This window comes from Homo sapiens, chromosome 9 (assembly GCF_000001405.40).
Source record: "Homo sapiens chromosome 9, GRCh38.p14 Primary Assembly".
Classification (NCBI taxonomy): Eukaryota; Metazoa; Chordata; class Mammalia; order Primates; family Hominidae; genus Homo; species Homo sapiens.
Genome location: NC_000009.12, coordinates 104,824,776 through 104,837,825, shown reverse-complemented (window position 1 = coordinate 104,837,825; position 13,050 = coordinate 104,824,776). Strand labels below are relative to the sequence as shown.

Below are 13,050 nucleotides of genomic sequence, written 5' to 3'. Positions count from 1 at the left end.
CTGATTATTTATCAAGCATCATTCTTTATAGATATCTCAGTTTAATCTGAGATAATCTTCTCCACATCTCTCCACATAGATGTTATGAATTTTACTTTTACAGAGGAGCCAACTGAGGCTCAGATAAGTTACTTATTATATGACTAGTAGTGGTAGAGCTGGGGTTTCAACTAAGAACTCTCTGGCTCCAAAGCCCTTGTAAGTTTCTATCAGTATATGACCATGCATATGAGCATTTGTCTCTCCTCTTCTTCATAGCTCCTTACTGCAATGATTTGATGAAGAATTTGGAGTCTAGTCCTCTTTCCCGCATTATCTGGAAAGCTCTGAAGCCGCTGCTCGTTGGGAAGATCCTGTATACACCTGACACTCCAGCCACAAGGCAGGTCATGGCTGAGGTAAGCTGCCCCCAGCCCAAGACTCCCTCCCCAGAATCTCCCCAGAACTGGGGGCAAAAAACTCAAGGTAGCTTCAGAGGTGTGCGCTAAGTATACTCACGGCTCTTCTGGAATTCCCAGAGTGAAAACCTCAAGTCTGATGCAGACCAGAGCTGGGCCAGCTCCCCAGTCGTGGGTATAGAATCATAGTTACAAGCAGGCATTTCTTGGGGATGGGGAGGACTGGCACAGGGCTGCTGTGATGGGGTATCTTTTCAGGGAGGAGCCAAACGCTCATTGTCTGTGCTTCTCCTCCTTTTTCTGCGGTCCCTGGCTCCCCACCTGACTCCAGGTGAACAAGACCTTCCAGGAACTGGCTGTGTTCCATGATCTGGAAGGCATGTGGGAGGAACTCAGCCCCAAGATCTGGACCTTCATGGAGAACAGCCAAGAAATGGACCTTGTCCGGGTGAGTGTCCCTCCCATTATTACCATGTGCCTGCTTGATACTGGAGAGGTGAGTTTCTGGTCACTTTCCCAGGTGTGAGTGAGGTGAGAATTCTTTCAGTTTATCTAGCTGGGGGAATGTAGTGAGCATAGCTAAAGTCACAGGGCACCACCTCTCCAGAAGTACAGGCCATGGTGCAGAGATAACGCTGTGCATATCAGCATCCATGCCACTCACGGTCAAATAGCAGTTTTCTGCAAAACTTAGTGAGGGCTGGTGTTTGGAAGTGGAGTTGAGTAATTGCAGTACCCTATTTTCCTTTTTGGCTGCAGCCTCTCAGCCAGCCACAGCATCTCCCTGTGTCTTGGTAGGTTTTGGAAAGAAGTGTGGGAGCAAAAGCATGATGTTACATGTAGACTGGCCTGAGATACTCATTCTCAGGGCACTGTGTGAATGATGAGCTGCTGTTACTGTGTGGAGGGGAAATGCACTTAGTGCTTCAGAGCCACTTGAAAGGGATAAGTGCTCTAGAGACAATTGGGTTCAAATGTGGAGCAGGCTGAGCAAGAACAGAATGTCTCCTTTGCCTGAGCCTGAGTGCTGTTAATCACATCTTCCTGCCTTGGGCTGAGTTAGAGAATCATTAGACTATTTCCTGTTTCCATGGTGAGGGAGGCCTCTTCCTTTTGTCTCTGCTCCCCTTAAGAAGCAGGTGAGGATTTTGCCAGGTTTCTTGTTTTGAACCTTATTGACTTTAAGGGCGGCTGGGTTTTAGAGACTGTACCTACCTAGGGGGAACACTTCCGAAGTTTAGGACTATTCCCTGATCCGCTGGGAGGCAGGTTACTGAGGAAGTCCCTTTAAAAACAAAGGAGTTTATACTGAGAAAAGCATAAACAGTGATTTGTATGGATTCACACTGACTAATATAGCTCATGCCATTAAAGTGGGGTCTCTTCTCTAAAGGAGGGTTATATGATCTAGCCCCGTAGACCTAAGTGTGGTTTCAGACCTGTTCTTCCTGGTCCTCTCCTTGGAATCCATATTTCTACTAGTTGGACTTTTTCTGTTTGTCTGGCTCTCAGAGGATTATAGGAGGCCCTGTGAAGTGACTCAGTGAATTTTGATTTGTGGGCAAGTAGATGGTTCCCTAGTCTGAAATTGACTTTGCCTTAGGTGCTTCAATTCTTCATAAGCTCCCAGTTCTTAAAGGACAAGATCCTTGTAAACATGGCAATGGCATTCATTAGGAATCTAGCTGGGAAAATCCAGTGTGTATGCTTGGAAATGAGGGATCTGGGGCTGGAGAGAAAGGCATGGGCATGCCTTGGAGGGACTTGTGTGTCAAGCTGAGGACCTTTACTTTAAGCTCTAGGGGACCAGGCAAGGGGAGATGTAGATACGTTACTCTGATGGGGTGGATGAATTGAAGAAGGATGAGGCAAGAATGAAGGCAGAGACCAGGGAGGAGGCTCTCCAAGTGGCCAAGGCATAAAGCAAGAAATGAGGCCTGGTGACTGCTTAGTGGCAGAGCAGTGAAAGAGAGGGAGGCATCAAAGTGAGTCTCGATTTCTAGCTGGGTGGGTGGTAGCGATGTCCAGTAGGCCAGTGGCTACTGAGGTCTGCAGTGGAGGAGGGTGGTTGGGCTGGAGACAGATGATGAGGGAGTCATCAGCCTGTGGGTGGAAGAAAAGGGAACCTCTTCCAACTGTTTTCTTTGCTTCTTCCCTCTCTTTCTCTTTTTTTTTTTTTTTGGACAGAGTCTTGCTCTGTCACCCAGGCTGAAATGCAGTGGCATGATCTTGGCTCACCACAGCCTCCGCCTCCTGGGTTCAAGCAATTCTCCTGTCTCAGCCTCCAGAGTAGCTGGGATTACAGGCACATATCACTGTGCCCGGCTAATTTTTGTATTTTCAGTGGAGATGGGATTTCACCATGTTGGTCGGGCTGGAATGAACTCCTGACCTCAAGTGATCCACCTGCCTCAGCCTCCCAAAGTGTTGGGATTACAGGCATGAGCCACCGCGCCCGGCCTTTCTTCCCTCTCTTAAAGAGTGTTTATTTAATTCCACAAACATGAGCTTGTCACCCCCTGTAGCCTGGCATCTCCTACACGAGGTGATGGCTGAGGCTTCTGCTTCTGCTGGGGTAGCTCTGATCTTTCTGCTTTCTCTGGCACTGTCTACCCATGTTGCCTCACCCCACAGGTCCCAGGGCACCTCTCTCGGGCAAGTCTTGGAACCCTCTGACACTGATTTGCTCTCTTTTCTGAGCTGCTTTTAGCCACCCATCCTCGGGACCTGTTTTCTCTCTGCCTCCACCCCTGCGGGCAGTCTTAGGTCTCCTGCCCCTCACGAGCACCCCAGAGAGGCCACGTGCTCAGTGATCTCAGTGGGCGCATCTTTCTAGTCTTGCTATTCTTTTTGGCCATGTTGTTCAGAAACCATACTGGGCAGGGCCGACTTCACCCTAAAGGCTGCGTCTCTTCACTCTGCTTTTGTTTGTTCCAAATAAAGTGGCTTCAGAATTGCTAACCCTAGCCTCTGTGAACTTGTGAGGTACAATTTTGTGTCTGTTATGTTAACAAAAATACATACATACCTTCCTGGTGATGGTATAAATTGCTATTCTCTATTGGAAAGCAATTTGGAATGAAAATTTAAAGAACCATTTTAAAATATGCTATCCTGCGTACCTCCATTCCACCCACCCCCAGGGATGTAGCCTACTGAAATAATTTTAAAGAAGTCACCATATGAGAGAAAATGTTATTGCTATATTGTTATTGTGAGAAATTGGAAATAGACTAAATGTTCAGCACTATAGGAATAATTAATGAAATTACATATACTCTATACAATCATTATGCTGCCATTGAAATAATAAATACAAAGGCGCAAGGGGGGAAAAGCTTATAATGTTAGTGAAACTAAGACTGATTTTTTTATAAAGCAGCAGTTTTCAGACCCTTGGAGACTCCAATTCGGTAGAACCAGAGCTTCATCTTCTCTGTCGAAGCTGTGACAGGAGTTGCAAATGCCTCTCCTTTTTGCTGAGTTTGCAGCTGCTGTTTTTCCGGCAGCACATCTGTGCAGGCCTCTGCCTCGGCCCCTCTGGATCTGCTGATTGAGCAGCGGATTGATCTGTCCTTCTCTTTCGTGTTGACCCATGTGAGGAACCAACTGGCAAGGGAACAAGAAATGGAAATAGGCCTCCTTTGCATCATGACCTGTACATCCTGCAATTGGAAAAGATTGTACTTTAGTTGGTTTAACCAGCAGCATTATTTTTCTAAACTAAGCAGTAAGAAGGAATTAGGTTTTATGTGGGATCAACAGACTGGGTCTCAAAAGAGGAAGGTGATAGAACACAGTGGGGAGGGGGAGGTGCACTAGAAACAGAGGGCCTATGCTTTCATTCTGGCTTTGCTACTTAATAGCTGTGTGACCCAATCTTAGAGACTTAACCTCTCTGAACTTCCATTTTCTCATGTATAAAATGGGAAATATTAAAGGATACTCACTGGGCTGGTGGCTTGTGCCTGTAATCCCAGCACTTGGGGAGGTTGAGGTGGGAGGATCACTTGAGCCCAGGTGTTCAAGACCAGCCCAGGCAACATGGCAAGACTCTGTCTCTATGAAAAAATTAAAAATTAGCCAGGTGTGGTGGTGTGCACCTGTAGTCTTAGCTACTTGGTAGGCTGAGATGGGAGGATCACTTGGGCTTGGGAGGTCAAGGCTGCGGTGAGCTGTGATTCCATCACTGCACTCCAGCCCGGGCGGCAGAGCGAGACACTGAATCCAAACGACAACAACAACAAAAGGCAAAAAAATAAAAGTGCCCTCTTTATGGAGTTGTGTAAGGTGAAGCATATACACTATTCAACATAGTAACTATATAAAGGAAGTATTGTTGTTGTTACTGTAGTTAATACCATTAAGTGAGATGTTTCGTATAGTGGAAAGCACATGGACTCTGAATTCAGACTGGTCTGACTTTGAGTCTCAGCTCCACATCTAGTAATACTATGACCAAGCCCTGGTTAAAATCATGTTTTTTTTTCTTCAGCCTCAGTCTTCTCACATATAAAATAGGGACACTGTCATTTACCTCAGTTTTCTGTGAGGATAAAACAACGACAGTGTATATGCAAGTATTTTGTAAATTTTGTAGTGCTCCTCAAGATTTAGTTGGTGTTTACTACTTGTACTTTCTCACTGGAATGGCAGATGCTGTTGGACAGCAGGGACAATGACCACTTTTGGGAACAGCAGTTGGATGGCTTAGATTGGACAGCCCAAGACATCGTGGCGTTTTTGGCCAAGCACCCAGAGGATGTCCAGTCCAGTAATGGTTCTGTGTACACCTGGAGAGAAGCTTTCAACGAGACTAACCAGGCAATCCGGACCATATCTCGCTTCATGGAGGTGAATCTGTTGCTGGGATCATTTAGAAAAGACTTAACGGCTTCTTTCTCTGAGACGTTACAATAAGGTTCAGGCAGGAGGCAAGTTTAGAAATAATGTATAGTCTCATTTACAAAACTATCCCTCAAGCCTAACACAGGATTTGATAACAAAAGGCACTTAATAAATGTTAGTTGAGTGGTTGAATGAGTAAATAAACTCTAGCTTTAGTAAATTAACTCTAGCTTATTCTATATAGGCTCAAGAGAATATTTCTACCCATTTTCTTCTAGGTTTTCCTATCTCAGTGACTAATGGTAGCAAAGCATTCCCTTAAAAAGGCATTATTTGTGAAACTTATCTAAAATCGAATTCGGGTCCAATTAAATTTTTGAAATTTTATATTAAAAATTATATTAGTAGGGATGGGTAAGAGGTGTTTTGGTCTGGTTGGTTGGTTAGTTGCTATGACTCAGAATTGCTAAGAAAACAGAAAAGTAAGATAAGATCATTGTTTTAACCTCTTTTCCTCCACAAAATCAATAAATAACATATCCCTAAATTACTCTTAGAATTTCTCTTAAATTGCAGTGAAAAACCAAAATCCTTCATTCTTGGTTGAAGGTTGGAAAACTACGTTAGAGAGGATTAGAGAGAGAGGATGAGCAATCGTGTAGTCAGCCCTTGCCTCCTAGTGTAGGATTTGTCTCAGCCACTGCTTGTTGTCCTGGCTGCCAACGTTCTCATGAAGGCTGTTCTTCTATCAGTGTGTCAACCTGAACAAGCTAGAACCCATAGCAACAGAAGTCTGGCTCATCAACAAGTCCATGGAGCTGCTGGATGAGAGGAAGTTCTGGGCTGGTATTGTGTTCACTGGAATTACTCCAGGCAGCATTGAGCTGCCCCATCATGTCAAGTACAAGATCCGAATGGACATTGACAATGTGGAGAGGACAAATAAAATCAAGGATGGGTAAGTGGAATCCCATCACACCAGCCTGGTCTTGGGGAGGTCCAGAGCACCTATTATATTAGGACAAGAGGTACTTTATTTTAACTAAAAATTTGGTAGAAATTTCAACAACAACAAAAAAACTCAACTTGGTGTCATGATTTTGGTGAAATTGGTACATGACTTGCTGGAAGGTTTTTCATAGGTCATAAAATAACAGTATCTTTTGATTTAGCATTTCTACTCAAGGGAATTAATTCCAGGAATTTTGGTGGCAGGCACCTGTAATCCCAGCTACTCGGGAGGCTGAGGCAGGAGAATTGCTTGAACCCAGGAGGCAGAGGTTGCAGTGAGCTAAGATCGCATCATTGCACTCCCGCCTGGGCAATAAGAGTGAAACTCCATCTCAAAAAAAAAAAAAGATACAAAAATAGAAAAAGGGGCTTGGTAAGGGTAGTAGGGTTTTGGGCAATTTTTTTTTTTTTTTTTTTTTATTGTATGGTTCTAAAGGAATGGTTGATTACCTGTGGTTTGGTTTTAGGTACTGGGACCCTGGTCCTCGAGCTGACCCCTTTGAGGACATGCGGTACGTCTGGGGGGGCTTCGCCTACTTGCAGGATGTGGTGGAGCAGGCAATCATCAGGGTGCTGACGGGCACCGAGAAGAAAACTGGTGTCTATATGCAACAGATGCCCTATCCCTGTTACGTTGATGACATGTAAGTTACCTGCAAGCCACTGTTTTTAACCAGTTTATACTGTGCCAGATGGGGGTGTATATATGTGTGTGCATGTGCATGCATGTGTGAATGATCTGGAAATAAGATGCCAGATGTAAGTTGTCAACAGTTGCAGCCACATGACAGACATAGATATATGTGCACACACTAGTAAACCTCTTTCCTTCTCATCCATGGTTGCCACTTTTATCTTTTTATTTTTATTTTTTTTTTTGAGATGGAGTCTCGCTCTGACGCCCAGGCTGGAGTGCAGTGGCTCGATCTCGGCTCACTGCAACCTTTGCCTCCCGGGTTCAAGCTATTCTCCTGCCTCAGCCTCCACAGTAGCTGGGACTACAGGCTCATGCTGCCACGCCCGGCTGACTTTTTGTATTTTAGTAGAGACGAGGTTTCACCATGTTACCCAGGCTAGACTTCAACTCCTGAGCTCAGGCAATCCACCCTCCTTGGCCTCCCAAAGTGCTGGGATTACAGGTGTGAGCCACTGCACCCAGCCCACCACTTTAATTTTTTACACTCTACCCTTTTGGTCAAAATTTGCTCAATCTGCAAGCTTAAAATGTGTCATGACAAACACATGCAAGCACATACTCACACATAGATGCAGAAACAGCGTCTAAACTTATAAAAGCACAGTTTATGTAAATGTGTGCACTTCTTCTCCCTAGGTGGTAAACCACATTTCAAAACAACCCAAATAAAACTGAACAAAGCTTCTTCCTCTTAGACTTTTTAGAAAATCTTTCAGTGCTGAGTCACTAAGCTGCCAAGTTCTCATTGTGGGAACTATGCCTTTGGATGTAATGATTTCTTCTAAGACAATGGGCGGAGGTGTAGTTATTGCAGACATCTGAAATATGTAATGTTTCTTCCAGATTCTGGAAATTCTCTTATTCTCTGTGGTTGGTGGTGGTGGTGGGATGTGTGTGTGTGTGTGTGTGTGTGTGTGTGTGTGTGTGTAGGGATCAGGATGCGGGAGGAGCTGGGTTCTGCTTGTATTGGTTCTCTGTTTTGCATTGAATAGTGTGTTTCCTTGTATGGCTATCTATAGCTTTTCAAGGTCACCAGAAATTATCCTGTTTTTCACCTTCTAAACAATTAGCTGGAATTTTTCAAAGGAAGACTTTTACAAAGACCCCTAAGCTAAGGTTTACTCTAGAAAGGATGTCTTAAGACAGGGCACAGGAGTTCAGAGGCATTAAGAGCTGGTGCCTGTTGTCATGTAGTGAGTATGTGCCTACATGGTAAAGCTTTGACGTGAACCTCAAGTTCAGGGTCCAAAATCTGTGTGCCTTTTTACTTTGCACATCTGCATTTTCTATTCTAGCTTGGAATCTGAAACATTGACAAGAGCTGCCTGAAATGTATGTCTGTGGTGTGATTAGAGTTACGATAAGCAAGTCAATAGTGAGATGACCTTGGAGATGTTGAACTTTTGTGAGAGAATGAGTTGTTTTTTTGTTTTGGTTTTTAGTACTTTAACATAATCTACCTTTAGTTTAAGTATCGCTCACAGTTACCTAGTTACTGAAGCAAGCCCCCAAAGAAATTTGGTTTGGCAACACTTTGTTAGCCTCGTTTTTCTCTCTACATTGCATTGCTCGTGAAGCATTGGATCATACGTACATTTCAGAGTCTAGAGGGCCTGTCCTTCTGTGGCCCAGATGTGGTGCTCCCTCTAGCATGCAGGCTCAGAGGCCTTGGCCCATCACCCTGGCTCACGTGTGTCTTTCTTTCTCCCCTTGTCCTTCCTTGGGGCCTCCAGCTTTCTGCGGGTGATGAGCCGGTCAATGCCCCTCTTCATGACGCTGGCCTGGATTTACTCAGTGGCTGTGATCATCAAGGGCATCGTGTATGAGAAGGAGGCACGGCTGAAAGAGACCATGCGGATCATGGGCCTGGACAACAGCATCCTCTGGTTTAGCTGGTTCATTAGTAGCCTCATTCCTCTTCTTGTGAGCGCTGGCCTGCTAGTGGTCATCCTGAAGGTAAGGCAGCCTCACTCGCTCTTCCCTGCCAGGAAACTCCGAAATAGCTCAACACGGGCTAAGGGAGGAGAAGAAGAAAAAAAATCCAAGCCTCTGGTAGAGAAGGGGTCATACCTGTCATTTCCTGCAATTTCATCCATTTATAGTTGGGGAAAGTGAGGCCCAGAGAGGGGCAGTGACTTGCCCAAGGTCAACCCAGCCGGGTAGCAGCTAAGTAGGATGAGAGTGCAGGGTTCATGCTTTCCAGATAACCACATGCTCAACTGTGCCATGCTGTCTCATTGGTAGTGGTTCATGGCAGCATCTGAAAGCTATTTATTTTCTTAGATATATTGGGTGGCGATTCTTCCTAAGTTTCTAAGAACAATAATCAGAAGGATATATATTGTTGCAGGTTAGACTGTCTGGAAGCAGAGGCTGAAATAGAGTTTGATGTATGGGTATTTATGAGGGCTCAATACCTATGGAAGAGATATGGAAGATGCAGGATTGGGCAGAGGGAGGAGTTGAACTGTGATATAGGGCCAACCCCGTGGGGCACTCTAGAGAATATGCAGCTTGTTGGAGTTGTTCTTCATCGAGCTGAAACATCCAGCCCTTTGTGCTCCCCCAAGGCCTCCCTCCTGACACCACCTACCTCAGCCCTCTCAATCAATCACTGGATGTGGGCTGCCCTGGGAAGGTCGTGCCCCAGGGCCTACATGGCTCTCTGCTGCTGTGACAAACCCAGAGTTGCTGATGCCTGAGGCCGTCTACTGACAGCTGGGCAACAAGGCTTCCCTGAATGGGGACTCTGGGCAGTGCAGTTTTGTGTCTGAACCATACATTAATATATTTATATCCGAATTTTCTTTCTCTGCAAGCATTTCATATAAAGACACATCAGGTAAAAATAAATGTTTTTGAAGCAAAAGGAGTACAAAGAGATAAGAACTAACTAATTTAATACTAGTTACCATCTGTTACAAATAGTTCCTACTGATTGCCAAGGACTGTTTAAACACATCACATGGGCTTCTTCTTCTATCCTCACTAACCCTTTTAACAGACAAGGAAATGAGGCTCAGGAAGGTCAAGGACTTTATTGAGGTTCCACAGTAGGATACAGTTCTTGCTAAAAGCAACCCCTCCCTCATGCTCTGTTATCTAACTGCAAGGGGAAGGTCAGTGGCAGAGGTAGTGGTCCCATGGTTGGTGCATAAGAGCTGCTCTGAGACAACTGCATGCTGGTGGGTCCTGCAGACATGTACCCATCAGCCGGAGATAGGCTCAAAATATCCACAAGAGTTTGGATGATTGTGGGAATGCAGAATCCATGGTGATCAAGAGGGAAAGTCAAGTTGCCTGGCCATTTTCCTTGGCTTTTAGACAGAAAAGTTACGTGGGATATTATCTCCCACAGCTCTTCTGTGGTGCCACCAGTCATAGTCCTTATATAAGGAGAAACCAGTTGAAATTACCTATTGAAGAAACAAAGAGCAAACTCGCCCACTGAAATGCGTAGAAAGCCCTGGACTCTGTTGTATTCATAACTCTGCCATTATTTTTCTGCGTAGTTTTGGGTAAGTCACTTATCTTCTTTAGGATGGTAATGATCAGTTGCCTCATCAGAAAGATGAACAGCATTACGCCTCTGCATTGTCTCTAACATGAGTAGGAATAAACCCTGTCTTTTTTCTGTAGATCATACAAGTGAGTGCTTGGGATTGTTGAGGCAGCACATTTGATGTGTCTCTTCCTTCCCAGTTAGGAAACCTGCTGCCCTACAGTGATCCCAGCGTGGTGTTTGTCTTCCTGTCCGTGTTTGCTGTGGTGACAATCCTGCAGTGCTTCCTGATTAGCACACTCTTCTCCAGAGCCAACCTGGCAGCAGCCTGTGGGGGCATCATCTACTTCACGCTGTACCTGCCCTACGTCCTGTGTGTGGCATGGCAGGACTACGTGGGCTTCACACTCAAGATCTTCGCTGTGAGTACCTCTGGCCTTTCTTCAGTGGCTGTAGGCATTTGACCTTCCTTTGGAGTCCCTGAATAAAAGCAGCAAGTTGAGAACAGAAGATGATTGTCTTTTCCAATGGGACATGAACCTTAGCTCTAGATTCTAAGCTCTTTAAGGGTAAGGGCAAGCATTGTGTTTTATTAAATTGTTTACCTTTAGTCTTCTCAGTGAATCCTGGTTGAATTGAATTGAATGGAATTTTTCCGAGAGCCAGACTGCATCTTGAACTGGGCTGGGGATAAATGGCATTGAGGAATGGCTTCAGGCAACAGATGCCATCTCTGCCCTTTATCTCCCAGCTCTGTTGGCTATGTTAAGCTCATGACAAAGCCAAGGCCACAAATAGAACTGAAAACTCTTGATGTCAGAGATGACCTCTCTTGTCTTCCTTGTGTCCAGTATGGTGTTTTGCTTGAGTAATGTTTTCTGAACTAAGCACAACTGAGGAGCAGGTGCCTCATCCCACAAATTCCTGACTTGGACACTTCCTTCCCTCGTACAGAGCAGGGGGATATCTTGGAGAGTGTGTGAGCCCCTACAAGTGCAAGTTGTCAGATGTCCCCAGGTCACTTATCAGGAAAGCTAAGAGTGACTCATAGGATGCTCCTGTTGCCTCAGTCTGGGCTTCATAGGCATCAGCAGCCCCAAACAGGCACCTCTGATCCTGAGCCATCCTTGGCTGAGCAGGGAGCCTCAGAAGACTGTGGGTATGCGCATGTGTGTGGGGGAACAGGATTGCTGAGCCTTGGGGCATCTTTGGAAACATAAAGTTTTAAAAGTTTTATGCTTCACTGTATATGCATTTCTGAAATGTTTGTATATAATGAGTGGTTACAAATGGAATCATTTTATATGTTACTTGGTAGCCCACCACTCCCCTAAAGGGACTCTATAGGTAAATACTACTTCTGCACCTTATGATTGATCCATTTTGCAAATTCAAATTTCTCCAGGTATAATTTACACTAGAAGAGATAGAAAAATGAGACTGACCAGGAAATGGATAGGTGACTTTGCCTGTTTCTCACAGAGCCTGCTGTCTCCTGTGGCTTTTGGGTTTGGCTGTGAGTACTTTGCCCTTTTTGAGGAGCAGGGCATTGGAGTGCAGTGGGACAACCTGTTTGAGAGTCCTGTGGAGGAAGATGGCTTCAATCTCACCACTTCGGTCTCCATGATGCTGTTTGACACCTTCCTCTATGGGGTGATGACCTGGTACATTGAGGCTGTCTTTCCAGGTACACTGCTTTGGGCATCTGTTTGGAAAATATGACTTCTAGCTGATGTCCTTTCTTTGTGCTAGAATCTCTGCAGTGCATGGGCTTCCCTGGGAAGTGGTTTGGGCTATAGATCTATAGTAAACAGATAGTCCAAGGACAGGCAGCTGATGCTGAAAGTACAATTGTCACTACTTGTACAGCACTTGTTTCTTGAAAACTGTGTGCCAGGCAGCATGCAAAATGTTTTATACACATTGCTTCATTTAATTCTCACAAGGCTACTCTGAAGTAGTTACTATAATAACCAGCAATTTTCAAATGAGAGAACTGTGACTCAAAGACGTTAAGTAACCAGCTTTGGTCACACAACTGTTAAATGTTGGTACGTGGAGGTGAATCCACTTCGGTTACACTGGGTCAATAAGCCCAGGCGAATCCTCCCAATGCTCACCCAATTCTGTATTTCTGTGTCCTCAGAGGGGGTACAACTAGGAGAGGTTCTGTTTCCTGAGTACAGGTTGTTAATAATTAAATATACTAGCTCTAAGGCCTGCCTGTGATTTAATTAGCATTCAATAAAAATTCATGTTGAATTTTTCTTTAGTACTTCTTTCTTAATATAATACATCTTCTTGACCAAGTCCAAGAGGAACCTGCGTTGGACAGTTTTCATATGAGATCAAATTCTGAGAGAGCAAGATTTAACCCTTTTTGGTTCACCTTCTGATCCTCCCCTAAGGAGGTATACATGAAATATTTATTACTCCTGCCTGAACTTCTTTCATTGAATATGCAATTTTGCAGCATGCAGATTCTGGATTTAAATTCTGAGTCTTAACTTACTGGCTGAGGGACCTTGGATAGGCTCCTTATCCCTCAGTTTCCTCATCTCTAAAATGGGGATGGCACCTGCCCCGTGGGTTGT

At 44.8% G+C, this 13,050-nt stretch overlaps 1 protein-coding gene across 1 annotated transcript in view; it reads left to right on the top strand.

Moving 5' to 3' along the window:
- Positions 1-13,050, top strand: part of ABCA1 (ATP binding cassette subfamily A member 1) — a 147,150-nt gene that overhangs the window by 90,330 nt on the left and 43,770 nt on the right. The window contains exons 10-17 of the mRNA NM_005502.4: positions 259-398; positions 730-846; positions 5,055-5,252; positions 5,999-6,204; positions 6,725-6,901; positions 8,688-8,910; positions 10,657-10,878; positions 11,939-12,143. Coding sequence (NP_005493.2) covers positions 259-398; positions 730-846; positions 5,055-5,252; positions 5,999-6,204; positions 6,725-6,901; positions 8,688-8,910; positions 10,657-10,878; positions 11,939-12,143 — 1,488 coding nt within the window. The remainder of the gene's footprint in view (positions 1-258; positions 399-729; positions 847-5,054; positions 5,253-5,998; positions 6,205-6,724; positions 6,902-8,687; positions 8,911-10,656; positions 10,879-11,938; positions 12,144-13,050) is intronic.